At 43.9% G+C, this 16,022-nt stretch overlaps 1 protein-coding gene across 10 annotated transcripts in view, besides 2 other annotated features; it reads left to right on the forward strand.

The window, feature by feature from the left end:
- Nucleotides 8,172-8,291: a silencer, noted in NCBI's record as "silent region_12908". NCBI's record gives its function as "represses an Ori minimal core promoter by ATAC-STARR-seq in GM12878 lymphoblastoid cells {active_cell/tissue: GM12878}" and the evidence as "EXISTENCE:reporter gene assay evidence [ECO:0000049][PMID:35858748]".
- The window catches only part of DHX35 (DEAH-box helicase 35), a 77,378-nt gene continuing 69,662 nt past the window's right edge, over nt 8,307-16,022 (forward strand). For all 10 annotated transcript variants that reach the window (NR_033905.2, XR_007067474.1, XR_007067475.1 and 7 more), the window contains exons 1-2: nt 8,307-8,370; nt 15,044-15,177. Coding sequence is in view for 7 of the 10 variants with exons in the window: in NM_021931.4 (NP_068750.2) it covers nt 8,331-8,370; nt 15,044-15,177 (174 nt within the window). In the remaining 3 variants the exon portion in view is untranslated. The remainder of the gene's footprint in view (nt 8,371-15,043; nt 15,178-16,022) is intronic.
- Nucleotides 8,332-8,641: an enhancer, noted in NCBI's record as "active region_17877". NCBI's record gives its function as "activates an Ori minimal core promoter by ATAC-STARR-seq in GM12878 lymphoblastoid cells {active_cell/tissue: GM12878}" and the evidence as "EXISTENCE:reporter gene assay evidence [ECO:0000049][PMID:35858748]".

Below are 16,022 nucleotides of genomic sequence, written 5' to 3' on the forward strand. Positions count from 1 at the left end.
GTAGCAGAGAGCTATGCAGGTTAGGTAGCTGTTATTTCCAATTTTCAGATGAAACTGAGGCACTGATTAAGTAGCATATTCAAGATGACATGGCTTGTAAATGGTGATGCAAGAATTTAAACACAGGTTTCTAGATTCTAAGTGCAGTACTCTGTTACATGACTATTTCTCTACACGGAGTATGGAAGCAGGAGAGAGTGTACCTTGAGAAATGGCAGTTACTGCAATGGTGAATGGAAAACTAAAACAGCCTCATTAACAAACGTTAAGTACAGGCTGGGCGCGGTGGTTCACGCCTGTAATCCCAGCACTTTGGGAGGCTGAGGTGGGCGGATCACCTGAGGTCAGCAGTTTGAGACCAGCCTCAACATGGAGAAACCCTGTCTCTATTAAAAATACAAAATTAGCTGGGTGTGGTGGTGCATGCCCCTAATCCTAGCTACTCGGGAGGCTGAGGCAGGAGAATTGCTTGAACCTGGGAGGCGGAGGTTGTGGTGAGCCGAGATCACGCTATTGCACTCCAGCCTGGGCAACAAGAGCCAAACTCTGTCTCAAAAAAAACAAAACAAAAACAAAACAGCAAAAAAAGCAAAGTACAACAAAAAAAAGTAAGTACAAAGTCCTAATCTGTGATACTTCTTTTTGTTTGTTTTTGAAGCAGTCTCGTTCTATTGCTCAGGCTGGAGTGCAGTGGCACAATCACAGCTCACTATTTTTTTGTAAAGGCAGGGTCTCACTATGGTGCCTAGGCTGCTCTTAAACTCCTGGGCTCAAGTGATCCTCTTGCCTCAGCCCCTCAAAGTGCCGGGATTACAGGCATGAGCTACTGCATTCAGCCTGTGATAATGTATTTTAATTTAGTTTGAAATTTTAACTGAATGTTCTATGGAACTGTTAATAGGATGACATAACAAAGGTTCTGTGTTTAGTGTGAGAAACTGGGCCAAAGAAATGTAAACAAAGTTCTTTAATGCAGGACTACTCAGAACTCTGAAGTAATGATCACAGTGAATTTCTCAGAGCAGGGCAGGTATATGGCTTACCACAAACTACCTACCACAGAGTGCTCTTTTTGTGGAGCAGGACTCAAAACCATTATTCTCTGAAAGTGTGGCCAACAATTAGAAATAAGAGCAAGAGCCGGGCGCGGTGGCTCACGCCTGTAATCCCAGCACTTTGGGAGGCCGAGGCGGGCGGATCACGAGGTCAGGAGATCGAGACCATCCTGGCTAACACGGTGAAACCCCGTCTCTACTAAAAAAATACAAAAAATTAGCCGGGCGTGGTGGTGGGCGCCTGTAGTCCCAGCTACTCGGGAGGCTGAGGCAGGAGAATGGCATGAACCCAAGAGGCGGAGCTTGCAGTGAGCCGGGATAGCGCCACTGCAGTCCAGCTTGGGCGAAAGAGTGAGACTCCGTCTCAAAAAAAAAAAAAAAAAAAAAAAAAAAGAAGAAGAAGAAAAAAGGCCGGGCGCGGTGGCTCACGCCTGTAATCCCAGCACTTTGGGAGGCCGAGGCGGGCGGATCACGAGGTCAGGAGATCGAGACCATCCCGGCTAAAACGGTGAAACCCCGTCTCTACTAAAAATACAAAAAATTAGCCGGGCGTAGTGGCGGGCGCCTGTAGTCCCAGCTACTTGGGAGGCTGAGGCAGGAGAATGGCGTGAACCCGGGAGGCGGAGCTTGCAGTGAGCCGAGATCCCGCCACTGCACTCCAGCCTGGGCGACAGAGCGAGACTCCGTCTCAAAAAAAAAAAAAAAAGACAAAAAAAAAAGAAATAAGAGCAAGAGATACATGGAGTCCTAAGAAAATGACCCAGTCTCTCAAAGTAAGCAGTCTTTCTGGAGTTGAGTCCAGAAAGTATCATTTATATGGCAGAGTTTTTCAAAGTGAGATCTGAGGACCACCTGCATCAGTCTTGGGGTGCTTGGGTGCTTCCATTTAAAATGCTGATTACTGGTTTCACTCCCAGGGGAGCGGGGTATGAGTGTGGCAGCCTATGTAGTTCAAAAATATTTGTTATTCCTCCCTGGGAGAAAATTATATCCCTCTGTCTACTGTCAGATTTGGCCATCGCAGACTTAGCTGTGAATATTTCAGCATATATATCTAAAAGATAACTGTTTTAGAAAACATAATCATGGCCAGGCGCGGTGGCTCATGCCTATAATCCCAGCACTTTGGGAGGCCAAGGCGGGTGGATCACGAGGTCAGGAGTTTGACACCAGCCTGGCCAACATAGTGAAACCCCGTCTCTACTAAAAATACAAAAATTAGCCGGGCATGGTGGTGTGCGCCTGTAGTCCCAGCTATTCGGGAGGCTGAGGCAGGAGAATGGCGTGAACCCGGGAGGTGGAGGTTGTGGTGAGCCAAGATTGCGCCACTGCACTCCATCCTGGGTGACAGTGAGACTCTGTTTCAAAACAACAACAAAAAAGAAAACCACTTTACCACTGTCACACCTAAACAACTTTGATACAAACTTATCAAATAAATATTCAGTGTTTAAATTCAGTTGTCTAATTTTTTTCTCCCCCTGATGGTTTGTTTGAATTAGAGGTTGATCCATGCAGGCTTGACATTCTCCTATTAAAGGAATCAACTGAAGAGGTGGCCGGCCACCCCACCTCTGTAGGCAGTTGGGCTGGGGAGTATCTGTCGTTTACTTATGGGACTTAAAGCGACTAACAAGAAAAGCTAGGGTACAAGGTCGTGTAAATGAAAAGTTACATGAAGGAAACCCAAGGGTGAGGGATAAAAAGTGGAGTCTGGAATGAGGCTTGAAGAGCCCGCCATGACATACACACCTACTTCATGAGGCCACACGTTTAAGCTTTCCAATAGTGAATACAGAGAAGCCTGGTCAGATACACCATTCGCAGTGTCCTTAAGATTAAAGTAAATCCAGATACAGAAAGGACAGTTATTCCCCACGGTGGCATATGCCTGTTGTCCTAGGTATTTGGAGGGCTGAGGCGGGAGGGTGGCTTGAGCCAGAAAGGACGAGGCTGTAGTAAGCTGTGATTGCACCACTGCCCTCCAGCCTGGGTGATAGAGTGAGACCCTATCTCAAAAACAACAAAATTATTCCAGGCACTAAGATAATTTCTTTCAAGGATCTTTTTATAAAAACGATACTTATAAAAATGACATTCTGGTAATCACATTCCGATAATAAACAATGACAGATACTCTGGGGCATGCCCGGACCCTGAACTCTGCAGAGGCAGTTGTCTGAAGCAGTAAATGAGGTGAATGTATTCAGGTGTATTCTGTGAGCATGGAATACATACCTTATGTTGAATATGTTTAGATCTACATTGTTAGGCTAAGTTTACACACACACCTAGATGTATGCCCCAGTTTGCCTGGCAGAGTTCCAGTTGATGCCTCTTATCCCCAAGTCCCATCTGGTTAACACCTCCTTTTATTCTCAAAAGTGTCCCAGTTTGAACTATAAAGTATATAGGCATCCTATATAGAAAGCACCTCGCAGACCTAAGGAGGCTGTCCCCAGTTCACCCAACTTCATTGAATTGTGTGTCCCTCAGGCCAAAGAAACAGAGGCTCCTCTGGCTGCGGAATCCTTTCCAGTGGATCTTTCCACAACTGTACCCAAATCTTTGAAGCTGCGTCAGCACTTTTGCTTATGCTAATAACTGTGTGAACGTGATCATTTGTGTGCAAACCAACAAACCAGACAGGTTTACATATGTTACAGCAAGTTGTGGAAGACTGCACCTTAGACTCTTGGGAAAATCCTGATATAATGCAATTTAGTACAGCAATTCTGTAAAGGACCACCACTTTTCAGTCTGGGGATGGCTGCCTGTTGTCTAGCTTGATGGTGGCAACCAAAGGGCAGTTAGCGTTTCTCTTAGGAAGCTAACAGTTGTAGCGGGTTGATACATGGATGGTTGTAATGGACATCTATTATTTTTGCTTCATTCATTCAATCATTCATCCTCTGGTAATCTCACGCTCAGATTTCCCTCTGAGGAACCGTTCTGTTCCCAGCTTTCAGTCCATGTGTTTCTGCTGAAGCTGACCTAACCCGACCCTGGATGTGGAACATGGGACCAAGGCCTAAGTCCATTAGTACATTAGATTCCTGGGCTTAGTGGTTGATTTAGGGATGGATACATGGCCTGTCAGGAATACGTTGCCAAGGAATTTTGGAAAGAGGTTTAATGCTTAAGAGGATGTGGTGGCTAAAACTGGCATGGCCACTTTGTTACCACGTTACGCCTGAATCAGCAGAACGTGGATCAATATGATCAGAAAGAATCCTGGTTATGTGGTATGTATCCTGATGCAGCTGTGTCTCAAGTCAGAACTACTCTTGGACTTTTCATTTTATTTTTATTTATTTATTTTTTTTGGAGGCAGAGTTTCACTCTTGTCACCCAGGCTGGAGAGCAATGGTGTGATCTCAGCTTACTGCAACTTCTGACTCCCAGGTTCAAGCGATTCTCCAGCCTCAGCCTCCTGAGTAGCTGGGATTACAGGTGTGCACCACCATGCCTGGCAAATTTTTTTGGTATTATTAGTAGAGACGGGCTTTCACCATGTTGGCCAGGATGGTCTCAAACTCCTGACCTCAGGTGATCCACCCCCCTCAGCCTCCCAAAGTGCTGGGATTATAGGTGTGAGCCACTGTGCCCAGCCAGACTTTTTAGTTTATATGAGCCATTTCTGCTTAAGAGAGGTTGGGTTGGGTTTTCTATCACTTATATCCATAAAAGTCTTAACTGGTACAAAAATGAAAACCCTAAATTCTATGCCTTCCTGAACATGGTCAATAGGTTTAGTCTGGAAATTCAAAGCAAAAAATACCCTTTATCATAGGCACAGAAAAACTTCCATATTGTAACACGATTTTGAGGAACATTATCTTTCTGGAAAGCTTATCATTTGGAAGTTGCAAAATACACCTTTATGTAACAAAATGATTAGACTTTTATGGAATTGTTGGCAATCAACTAAATAAATTCTGGATGCCATCTCAAGAAATATCAGTTTTAATTTCAGAGCAGTTATTTTAGCCCATTCTTTCTGAAAATAGTTAATTAGGAAGACTAAGAATCTGTTGAGACCATTCCTAGTTTGTGGAAATAAAACCACAACATCAACATGCAGGTTATTACTTAGGTATTTTCTCTAACAGTAGTCTGTGTAGGCAAAATAACCCCTTGGGGAGAGTTGGACTTTGAGAACTTTCTAAGGCAGATGAACTAATTTTCTTCCAGGAGAGTGTAGCTCTAATGATTTTAAGTGGCCCATGTAGTTGAGCAAACACTGGCCTGGGAATTAGAAAGCCCGAGTTCTAGTTTTAGTTCTGATACTAAATTAACTCATTGATTCTGACCAAGTCCTTTTAACTTCTATGTACCTCAGTTTCCTATAAGACAAGAAATTCAGGCTAGGTGTTAAGTATGGTCTCCTCCAGCTTTAAGATTATGATCCATGAGACCAGCCTGACCAACATGGGGAAACTGTCTCTACTAAAAATACAAAAATTAGCCGGGCATGGTGGCGTGTGCCTGTAGTCCCAGCTACTAGGGAGGCTGAGGCAGGAGAATCGCTTGAGCCCGGTGGGTGGAGGTTGCAGTGAGATGAGATCTCGCCATTGCTTGCCAGCCTGGGCGACAGAGCAAGACTCCATCTAAAAAAGAAAAAAGATTATGATCCAATAATACAGGCATGGCCGATTTACTGTCTCTTCATAAACAGGAAGGTTTCATTATATGAGTAATAGATAAAATAGATAAGTTATTTTATTTATTTTTTTTTCTATTTTTTGAGATAGAGTCTCACTCTGTCGCCCAGGCTGGAGTGCAGTGGCGGATCTCTGCTCATTGCAACCTCTGCCTTCCGGGTTCAAGGGATTCTCCTGCCTCACCTTCCCAACTGGCTGGGATTACAGGTGACTACTACCACACCCGGCTAATTTTTTTGTATTTTTAGTAGAGACAGAATTTCGCCATGTTGGCCAGGCTGGTCTCGAACTCTTACCTCAGTTGATCTGCCTGCCTCAGTCTCCCAAAGTGCTGGGATTACAGGTGTGAGCCACCGTGCCAGGCCATGAAATAATCTTAAAAGTGGCATTTATTTCATTTTGCCTTATATTCATGTATAAACCTTGGTTTCCGTATTTGGGCTGTTAGTAAAATAAGACAAAAATAAAACAAGGAAAAATCAATGTCATGAAGAACTAAAACTAAGCCTAAAGCATGATGTTTATCTGTATATTACTCAATAGGCACTGCTACTGGGCTACGAATGTGAATGTGCCATGGTCCTCGTCCTCAGTAAGTTCCCTGTGTAATAGTGGCGGCAGGTAAACCACAGATCAACTAAAACTAAGCCTAAAGCATGATGTTTATCTATACATTACTCAATAGGCACTGTTATTGGGCTACGAATGTGAATGTGAATGTGAATGCTGACATGGTCCTTGTCTTCAGTAAGTTCCCTGTGTAATAGTGGCGGCAGGTAAACTACAGATCAACTAAAACTAAGCCTAAAGCATGATGTTTATCTACACTCAATAGGCACTTGTTACTGGGCTACGAATGTGAATGTGACATGGTCCTCGTCCTCAGTAAGTTCCCTGTGTAATAGTGGCGGCAGGTAAACTACAGATCAACTAAAACTAAGCCTAAAGCATGATGTTTATCTACACTCAATAGGCACTTGTTACTGGGCCACGAATGTGAATGTGACATGGTCCTCGTCCTCAGTAAGTTCCCTGTGTAATAGTGGCGGCAGGTAAACTACAGGCAACTAAACTACAGGTCACTTTTCTCACAAAAGTGAGAATACAGTTCCTAGACTACAAGGGGGAATGTTTAAGTTGGATAGATAATTTAGAGCTAGCCCTTTAAGGGATAAAGATAATTTAAAGGATGGATGGAGAATTCTAGGCCGAGGGACTAACAGATATTGAGTCCCTACATTAATTACTATAAAAATAAATCAAAGAAGATTCTTACATGAACCTATGCAGGTAAATTCAGATTTTTTTCCCCCTGGTGGATTTGCTCTGAGTTGAGGTAATGAGAGCTAACATTGATTCAGTGCCTGCTATGTTTTGCACTGTTAGGTACTTTACATGTTATCTCATGTAATACCTCTTTAAACCTCATTTTACAACTAAAATTAAATGACAGCTAGGAGCTAGGAAATGGCAAAGTTACGATTCCAAGTCTGGACTGGTTGTCCACAAAAGCCCCTGCTCTTGCCATAATGATGCCACTTCTTTCAAAGAATTCAGAATTTTCTTCACAGCTTTAAAAATGCATAGATTCTGAAGCCTCTCACTTCCTTCCAATTAGTTGCCTACCTAGAAAGTTATTTCCTCCACTTGAGCTCATCACCCCTTCTTAGCGCTCCTTTGGATTACTGTAATTTCTTTTTCTTTGACCTCACCTTTCGTCTGATGGATTAGTGTAATCTTTCCCAAATTTGTTAATCTGAAGAATTCAGGAGCTTCTCAAAATGCAGGTTCCCAAGCCATGCTCCAGGACATCGATTCAGAATTGGATCAAGGCCTAGAATCTGTGTTTTTAACAAGCATTTGACTCAAGGGTATCAAATTGGAGGAAGCACTGAGTTGGTGGACTACCTTAATTGATCTACCCATTTTCAGTCTCTTCTGCCAACCCATTCGCTCCACCCCACCCCCAGTCCGTTTTTCCGTTTTGCCCTCAAGGTCCCTGAAGACTTCCATATCATTTCGCATTGTTTTATTTGGGGCACTGTGCCGCACTACCTGGGCCCACAGCAGGCGCGCAATATTTACTGACAAATACAACCCACGAGGTAGTTCCTATTATTACCCTTCAATTTGAAATTGAGAATAAAACAGAAGTCGACAAGTTGAGGTAGCTTGTGACATCAGTATTTCGTATTTAATCCAGAAAGCACTGCTTCAACGCCCAGTGCGTGCAAGGTTCCACTCTCGGGCCAGCGGTCCTCTCCCAAAGCCCGTTCTTCCTAAGTGTGCGGCCGCCATCCAGGACACGCCACGCTCGTAAAAGGTCACCTGAAGCATCTACCCTCCACGCTCAAGAGGTAGGCGGAGGAGCGCGCCCTTTTCTCCAAAATGGCTGAGCAGGGTCACGTGGGCTCGGGGGCGGGGCCGGTGCGCTCGCCGGAGCCTGGAAGTGGGTCACGTGGCTCAGACGGGGGCGGTAGCTGTGGGGGCGTGGCCGTCACACGGCGCGATCCGTCTGGGCAGCGGCTCTTCGGGGGCCACGCCCTCCGGGCCCTGGGGGCCTAGCGCGCGACGGTGGGGTGGAGCTAGCCTCGTGACCTTTTACCCCAACATGGCTGCGCCCGTGGGACCGGTGAAGTTCTGGCGACCCGGTAAGGCCCTTGGTGGAACGCTGGGCAGATGCGGCGGCCTGACTTCGGTCTTGGCGCCGCGGCCGGCGCCCTGGGGCCAGCAGACCTGCTCGCAGGCCTGACCTCGGCGAGCTGGGCGCTGCCGCCTCTGTGCGGGGGGAGCTCTGGCTCAGGCTCCCCAGTGGTCCCGAGGGATTTGGGGGTGCTCCCCTAGCGTGAGCAGAAACTCTTTGTGACCTTGTTAAAGTGGTCCAGCCTCCTCAGGCCTCGTCTTCCTCGTTACTGATGCTTGTCCTGCCCACCCCGCGAGATGGGGAATCCTAAAGCTCCCTCTCGTGTCTCGTTAGCGCCCTGGGGTTGCGCTGTGGCCCGACAGACAATGCTGCTCGCTGCTGGAGGCTTGCAAGCCCAAGTTATGGAGTCAGACTGTCCGGGTTCGAATTTTCGTCTCTGCCTTGTAGTAGGGTGACCTTGGGCGAGTCACTTAATGCCTCTGAGCCATGACTTCTTTACCTGTAAAGTGGGCAGAACAATAGCTTCTATGCTGTGGGCTTAAATGACAAGCAGAACGCGTTGTCAGACTTAGAATAAATGCTCAAAAAAAGGGAAAGTGTGTTATTTTCTTTTAGGATAATTGTTGTCCACTCCGAATGTCTACTAGAAAAGGGAACAGTCCTTCATATTGGCTGCCAGCCACTTCCTCTCTTACAGACTAACACGAATCACAATCACAAAATGCTTTACTTGTTTTGTCTTGATATTTACTCATTAATCAGGTTTTTACTGAATGTGCATATGCCAGACCGTACTAGATGCATTACTTCCTCTCTGCAAACAGTTTCTTGTAAAAAACAAAAGTTTTTAAATTACAGCTACCAGCTTGATTTTTTTCTACCACCTGCACCCCTGCAGGTCTGGATGTGCAAAGTATATTGCAGCAAAAATGAAATGACACCAAGAATGTAATATAAGCAAAGCTTTTAATTTTTCAGTGGTTCTCTGAAATTCTGACCATGCATATAAGTGATGTGAGAGATAAACCCAAGCAAGAGATATGTTTAATGCTTTTTAAAAATTTGTAGTCTGTCACTTGACAGTTTTATGGTTCAGCATTTCAAGTCATCAGCCAATTATCCATCCTGAGTTTTATTTGCATCCAAAACTAGGAACTTACTAAGTAATGAATACTTTTAATTTATTCACGCTTTTAGTAACAGGTGAAAGTGTTAGGTATAATAAAGAGCTGAATTAATTGTTTGAAATCAGACCAGGGTACTATTTTGGTTAAAGAACGTGGAATTACTCTTAAGAGTTCTATTTCATTATTTAGTTCATCCATTGAGGGTACACTTATTGAAAACCTAATCCTGTGTTCAGGAGACAAATACAGATGCTCAGGGCTCTGCTCTCAAGTTACTGTCTCTCTCTTAATTGAATATAAAGTTAGATGTCCTCTAGAAGAGATTTTACAATGAGACAGAGTAAGGTGGTGGTAAAGAAGATGAGCTCTAGAGTCAGACTGCAGTGCCCATCATGTCTACCACTTACTAAGTTGATGACTTGATAGTCACTTAAATTCTCAAAGTCTCAGTTACTCCATCTGTAAATTGGGTATAATACCTACCCTACCCAAAGTAGTGTTGTGAGGTTTAAATGAGAATAACACACAACAGGATCTTGGCACTAGATAGGTTACTATTATAATTATATGGAAGTATGGAAGAGGGAGGGAAAGTTGAATGTATGGATAAGAAATACTTCATTAAGGTGGTATTTTTGGAGTGAACATTAAAGGATGAATAAGGTTTTGTTTCATAGAGAAATGGAACTCGAAGCAAAGGGTGCAGCATGAACAAAGGCAGAATGGGATTTGTGCCTTTAGAATGTCCAGAAAGCCAAAATAACAGAGCAGTGTGATAGTGTTAAGTGCTAGGGTATATTTTGGGGTATGACAGGAGATGAAGCTAGAAAAGTAGGTAAGGGCCTCATTGTGAAAGGTCTTCATGACAAGTTAAAAAGTTTAGACTTCACTGTTTTTTTGTTTTCTTTCTTTTTTTTTTTTGAGATGGAGTCTGGCTCAGCCGCCCAGGCTGGAGTGCAGTGGCGCAATCTCGGCTCACTGGAACTTCCACCTCCCAGGTTCAAGCGATTCTCCTGCCTCAGCCTCCTGAGTAGCTGGGACTACAGGTGTGTGCCACCACACCTAGCTAATTTTTGTATTTTTAGTAGAGATGGAGTTTCAGCATGGTGGCCAGGATGATCTCAATCTTTTGATCCCGTGATCTGCCCACCTCGGCCTCCCAAAGTGTTGGGATTACAGGCGTGAGCCACTGGGCCTGGCCTGACTTCAGTGTTTTTAAGCAGGAACAAATCAGGTTTACTTTAGAAAGATAACACTGGCAGTGGAGTAGAGAGTGGATGGAGGAGGAAATTAGAGAAGGTACTAGTGAAATCCAGGAGGGATGTTAAAAACCTTAATTCTGACCTGGGAGCTTAGAGGAGGTGCCTGTTGGAGAGACATTTTAGAGGAAGATGTGGGAGAAGATGAAGTCAGTAATAACTCAGATTTCTGGGCTGGGTGACTGTCTAGGTTAGTGATTCTCTAATTTTGCTTTATAGTTGAATCACTTGGGAAGCTCTGAAAAGTCCTGATGTGCACTTGCACCTCACACCAATAAATTAGAACTTTGGAGGCCTAGGAGCCAGGCATCAGTGTTTTTTAAAGTCTCTAAGGAATTCCAGCATGCATCAAAATTTGGGAACCACTGGTCTAGGTAAATTGTGTTGTCATTAGTTGACATGGGAATAGCTTTAGTACACAGTTATTGGGCCGTTGCTTTGTGTTAGTCACTTTCATTTACACATCTTATTAAACAGTCACAGTATCTCTGTGATGACAGTAATACTCTTATTTTAGTGAGGAAATTCAAGATATGAAGTAGGTTGTGGGAAATGCAAGGTGAAAGTCAGGGAAGCTGATATAAGGCTAGACATTCAAATCATGAACATATCCTGTAGGCCTGAGCCTGTGATTACAGAGGTCTTTCAGACAGTCTAAGTGAGTGAAGTTGCTTACTGGAGGTAATAGGGAGTGGTGGGGACTGTGGCAGAGTGTGCATACACTGGATAGTATGTACAGTGGAGATCTACAGTAGAGCTTACATATGCTTTCTAAAATAGGGAGTTGTACTCAGGTCCACCTAATTGTTATCATATGGGTTCAGAGTTGCCCAATTTTTTTTTTAAGAAGCCTAATATCCAGATCTGAATGGGAAAATTTTATGTGTTGTTTTAAATGAATGATTTAAAACATTTTAACAATAGCATGTCTGGGTACCTTAAGATACCCATTTGTGGTGTCTACCTTAGGAGTGTGACTTAAGGGCCTTGTATGACCTGCCTGAGAGTTTTCTACAAAAATCTTTTACTTAATTTGCAAGTACACGTGGATCCGAAGGGCCTGCCCATTTTCGTTTGCTCATTTGATAAATATTTCATGATTGTTGACCATGTGCATGACGAAAACTTTACAATAGGTTTTAAGCTTTTTTTGACTTGACCCACAGTAAGATATAGCACACATACACAACTGAAGAAAAAGTTGTTCATAAACAGTATTGCTTTCTGGAATGTGCTCTGATGCTTTCTATTCTATTTCATTATTTAAAAAGTGCTGGTATGACATACTACATTGATTTCATAACCCACTAATGGGTCACCAGTAAAATTTTTAAAAACCAAGTTAAAGGGAATGAGGAATTAGGGATATCAGCCTTGTTAAGATAGGGAAATGAAGATGTTCATAGTTTGCAAAAGTTATAAAGTTGTTACTCCCTTAAGCATAGAGCGTACGCTCAAGGAAAAATCAATCATAGGCAGCCACAGAGGGGTGTTTATAGAGGGAAAGCAGCCCTGATGTTCTGGTTTGGTTGAAGGAAGTCTTTTATGAGGAGAAGGTATACTGTTTATCAACTGACATAGCTGTTCTTATAAAAGAGCTCAGCTGGGCGTGGTGGCTCATGCCTATAATCCTAGCACTTCGGGAGGTCGAGGTGGGTGGATCACCAGAGGTCAGAAGTTCGACACCAGCCTGGCTAACATGGTGTGACCCTGTCTCTACTAAAAATACAAAATGAGCTGGGTGCGGTGGTGCGTGCCTGTAATCCCAGCTACTCGGGATGCCCAGGCAGGAGAGTCGCTTGAACCTGGAAGGCGGAGGTTGCAGTGAGCTGGCATCTCGCCACTGCACTCCAGCCTGAGCAACAGAGACTCCATCTCCAAAAACAAAAGCTGATAATAGAAGAGATAGATTGGGGCTGTAGGTTAGAGACAAGGGAGGAATACGGTAGTACAAAAGACATGTTAAAATATTCCAGAGAGGATATGAAGGTTTAAAACATGATTTGAAAAGGCAGGAATTCAGGACAAAAACACAGCAGAAAAGGATAAGGTATTCTTTGTCATTGTTTTCTTGAGTAACAATTACAAGGAATTATTAAGATGTAGTGACAAGAAGGGAAGGAAAGAAAGCCTGTCTCTTTGAGGACAGGCATTGTTCCAGGTCCTGTTCCATCTTTTGTCTTGTTGAAAGGAAGGTCAACATTTTGGCAAAAGCAACATGACAGTGCCCCACTTACCTGATTTTTGGCCATCTTGAACCTCTGAAACACAACTCTGTTCCTGGAAGTAAATGGAAAAGGGTCAGAGATCTAAAGCAGTGATTCTAAACTTAGCTCTAGGGGGTCTACGGACCCCCCCGAATTTTATATTCTGGTAAATTCTGGTGTGTTTTTTAGGAGAGGGAGTTCATAGCCTTTATCAGATTGTTGAAGCAATCTGAGAACCCTAAAAAGTGTAAAAGTAAGTCACTGAGCTGAATATTCTTGTTACAAAGCTCCTGTGCTTTCACTTAGCATCACAGATTCTGAGTTCAGAAGACCTAGGAGATGATGGTTATTGGTTATTATCACTGTAGTGCCCCAGCAGGAGGCTGTATAGCATGTGTTTGATCTAGGGAGGATTTTTATTCATTTACAAGGCAGCAAACTCCAGTGCTGAAAAGTGTGACCTTTTGGAAATATCTTCCTTACATTGAGTTGAATTCTGAACCCTGTGTCATTTACTTATTACTCCTAGTTCTGTCCTAGAGTTACAGCAGCAAATCAGCATGAAAAGTTATGGAAGCTGCTCACAAAATTTAAAGTTATGTTTCTCCTGAGTTGTTTTTCTGTTTGAGCTAAAACTGTATGGAACCTTCAACAGGTTTTCATGATGGGATATGGCTTCCCTATTCTTCACCATCATGATCACCAGTTTGTCATTGTTATTAGCAAGAAGCCGGGGTGAAGATCTCTTGTTTAATCTGCCCAGCATGGCGGTTACTGAGAATAGCATTTCCCATCTATCCACTCCCGATTCCATGGTTCCAATGGGGACTGTCATTTACCTCATCCCATTCCACTGGCCATGGTTGATTGTATTGGGGTGGGGATTGGACCTAAGCTGGGAGAAGTCAGTCCCTGTCTGTCCAGTATAAAAGAGCCTCCCCCACCCCCCATTACAACACATACCTGGGACTCCCAGTCCCCCTTACGTTGTCTTTATTTCTCTCCATAGCACTTATGACCACTTCATGCACCAAGTTACTTTCCACTGAGAGGAAGAATTAAAAAAGCAAGTGAGCTCCGTGAGGGTAGGGCTGGCATCTGTATTGTTCACTGCAGTGTTTCTAGTGCTTAGAGTGGTACGTGACATGGAGTGGGCCCTTGGTCCATCCTTGCTGGTCCTTGCTGGACCACGATGAATGATTGGTAGAGGAGTTGTAAGCGTGAACCCTGGCACTGCCGGCAGCCGTCTTTCCAGCTCCTGTACAGTAGCCAACCTAAGGGGCTGGAAGGAACCTGCAAGACGTGCCAAGATGAGAGAAGGAGAAAGCCATGGCTGCTTTGAGTGCCCAGTTTCTGTCATCTCTGAGCCTTATTGCCATCCTACAGTAACAAGATTCATCCTTTTACCTCAGCTAATTCCCACTGGGTTTCTTTCACTTCTGTTAAGAATTCAGTAATAACATGGACATGGAGGCCAGAAGTAAAGACACTGTGCTCTGTAATACACAGTTCTGAGTGGCCAATTTGGAGCCCAGTGGGACTGCCATCTCGTTTCTTTTTTCTTTTTTTTTGGAGACAGAGTCTTGCTCTGTCGCCCAGGCTGGAGTGCAGGGGCCCGATCTTGGCTCACTGCAACCCCTGCCTCCTGGATTCAAGCAATTCTCCTGCCTCAGCCTCCCGAGTAGCTGGGACTACAGACACACACCGCCATGCACGCCTGGCTAATTTTTTGTATTTTAGTACAGGTGGGGTTTCACCTTGTTGCCCAGACTGGTCTCTAACCCCTGAGCTCAGGCAATCCGCCCGCCTCGGCCTCCCAAAGTGCTGGGATTACAGGCGTGAGCCACTGCACCTAACCCTGTCTTGTTTGTTTTTGACACTGCAGTGAAGCTTTTAGGGAAGATTTTTAGTTCCTCGTAGGCACTTTTCTGGATTCTTTCCTAAAGTTAAGGTTGAATACCTTTGAGTAGTTTGAGATAAAAAGTATTGCTTCTTCTGTATATCTTCATCTTTGAAAGTTTATAAACTTAACACCTTTTTCTGTTCATTGTATCAGAGAATCTGAAAAAAAAACATTTCTGCTGCAGGTACAGAGGGGCCAGGTGTAAGCATCTCTGAAGAGAGACAAAGTCTGGCTGAAAACTCTGGGACAACGGTTGTTTACAACCCTTATGCTGCCCTTTCCATAGAGCAGCAGAGGCAGAAGCTGCCGGTATTCAAGGTACGTCAAATAATCATGTTCAACCTGTGGGCTTGAATCGTGTGTCTGCATTAGCTTTATGCTCAGCACTGAAGGGAATGATGGCCTCTTTCTAGAACACAGTGAGCTCAGAGAAACCCTTACTGTAAGGGATGACTTTTCATACTGTGTATTTTTTAGTTAACCTTATAAATCTTGAAAGTCCTTAAGATTTTTTCAGTTGCATCGTACATACTGGAAAACTGGAGGAATTAGAATGACTTTTGTTTTCCCCTTTATTCCTTTCAGCTGTGGACAATTTCAGATATACAGAAAAGTAGAGAAAATAGCAGTTAATTTCTATATAACAGATTACCAACATATGGCCAATTTTTGCTTTATTTTTAAAGTCACTCCTTTAAACAAGTTTAATTGGGAATATGAGGTTGTTTCTGCTGAAGACATCAGTTAATACTCTGACTTCCTCTGAGACAGTGACAGGATTTTGGTATGGTTACTACTTACCAAGTGCACATCCAGACACTCAGTTTTATTAGCGCTCACGAAACAGATGTGTGCTCAGCTACAAGAGACCAAAGTGCAAACTAGAATTCATTCAGAACTGTTCATTTATGGCTAGCAATAATTCTCCAGTACAGATGGACACAGTTGACATATACACTTTGTCCCTGTTGGCACATCCACATGGGAAGCCAAATTGTAATCAGGAAGTACAGAGCCAAGACAGGTTACAGAAATGTCATACAGCCCCTGATGAGGGGTGAATTCTCCCTGCTCCACAGGATGCCCTTGGAATGACCCGAGTAGGTGTGGCCACCAGCATCTGTGTCTCTTTCTTTCTCCTGGACGGTGCTGGGTGAAAGTTG

This window comes from Homo sapiens, chromosome 20 (genome assembly GCF_000001405.40).
Source record: "Homo sapiens chromosome 20, GRCh38.p14 Primary Assembly".
NCBI classification, from domain to species: Eukaryota; Metazoa; Chordata; class Mammalia; order Primates; family Hominidae; genus Homo; species Homo sapiens.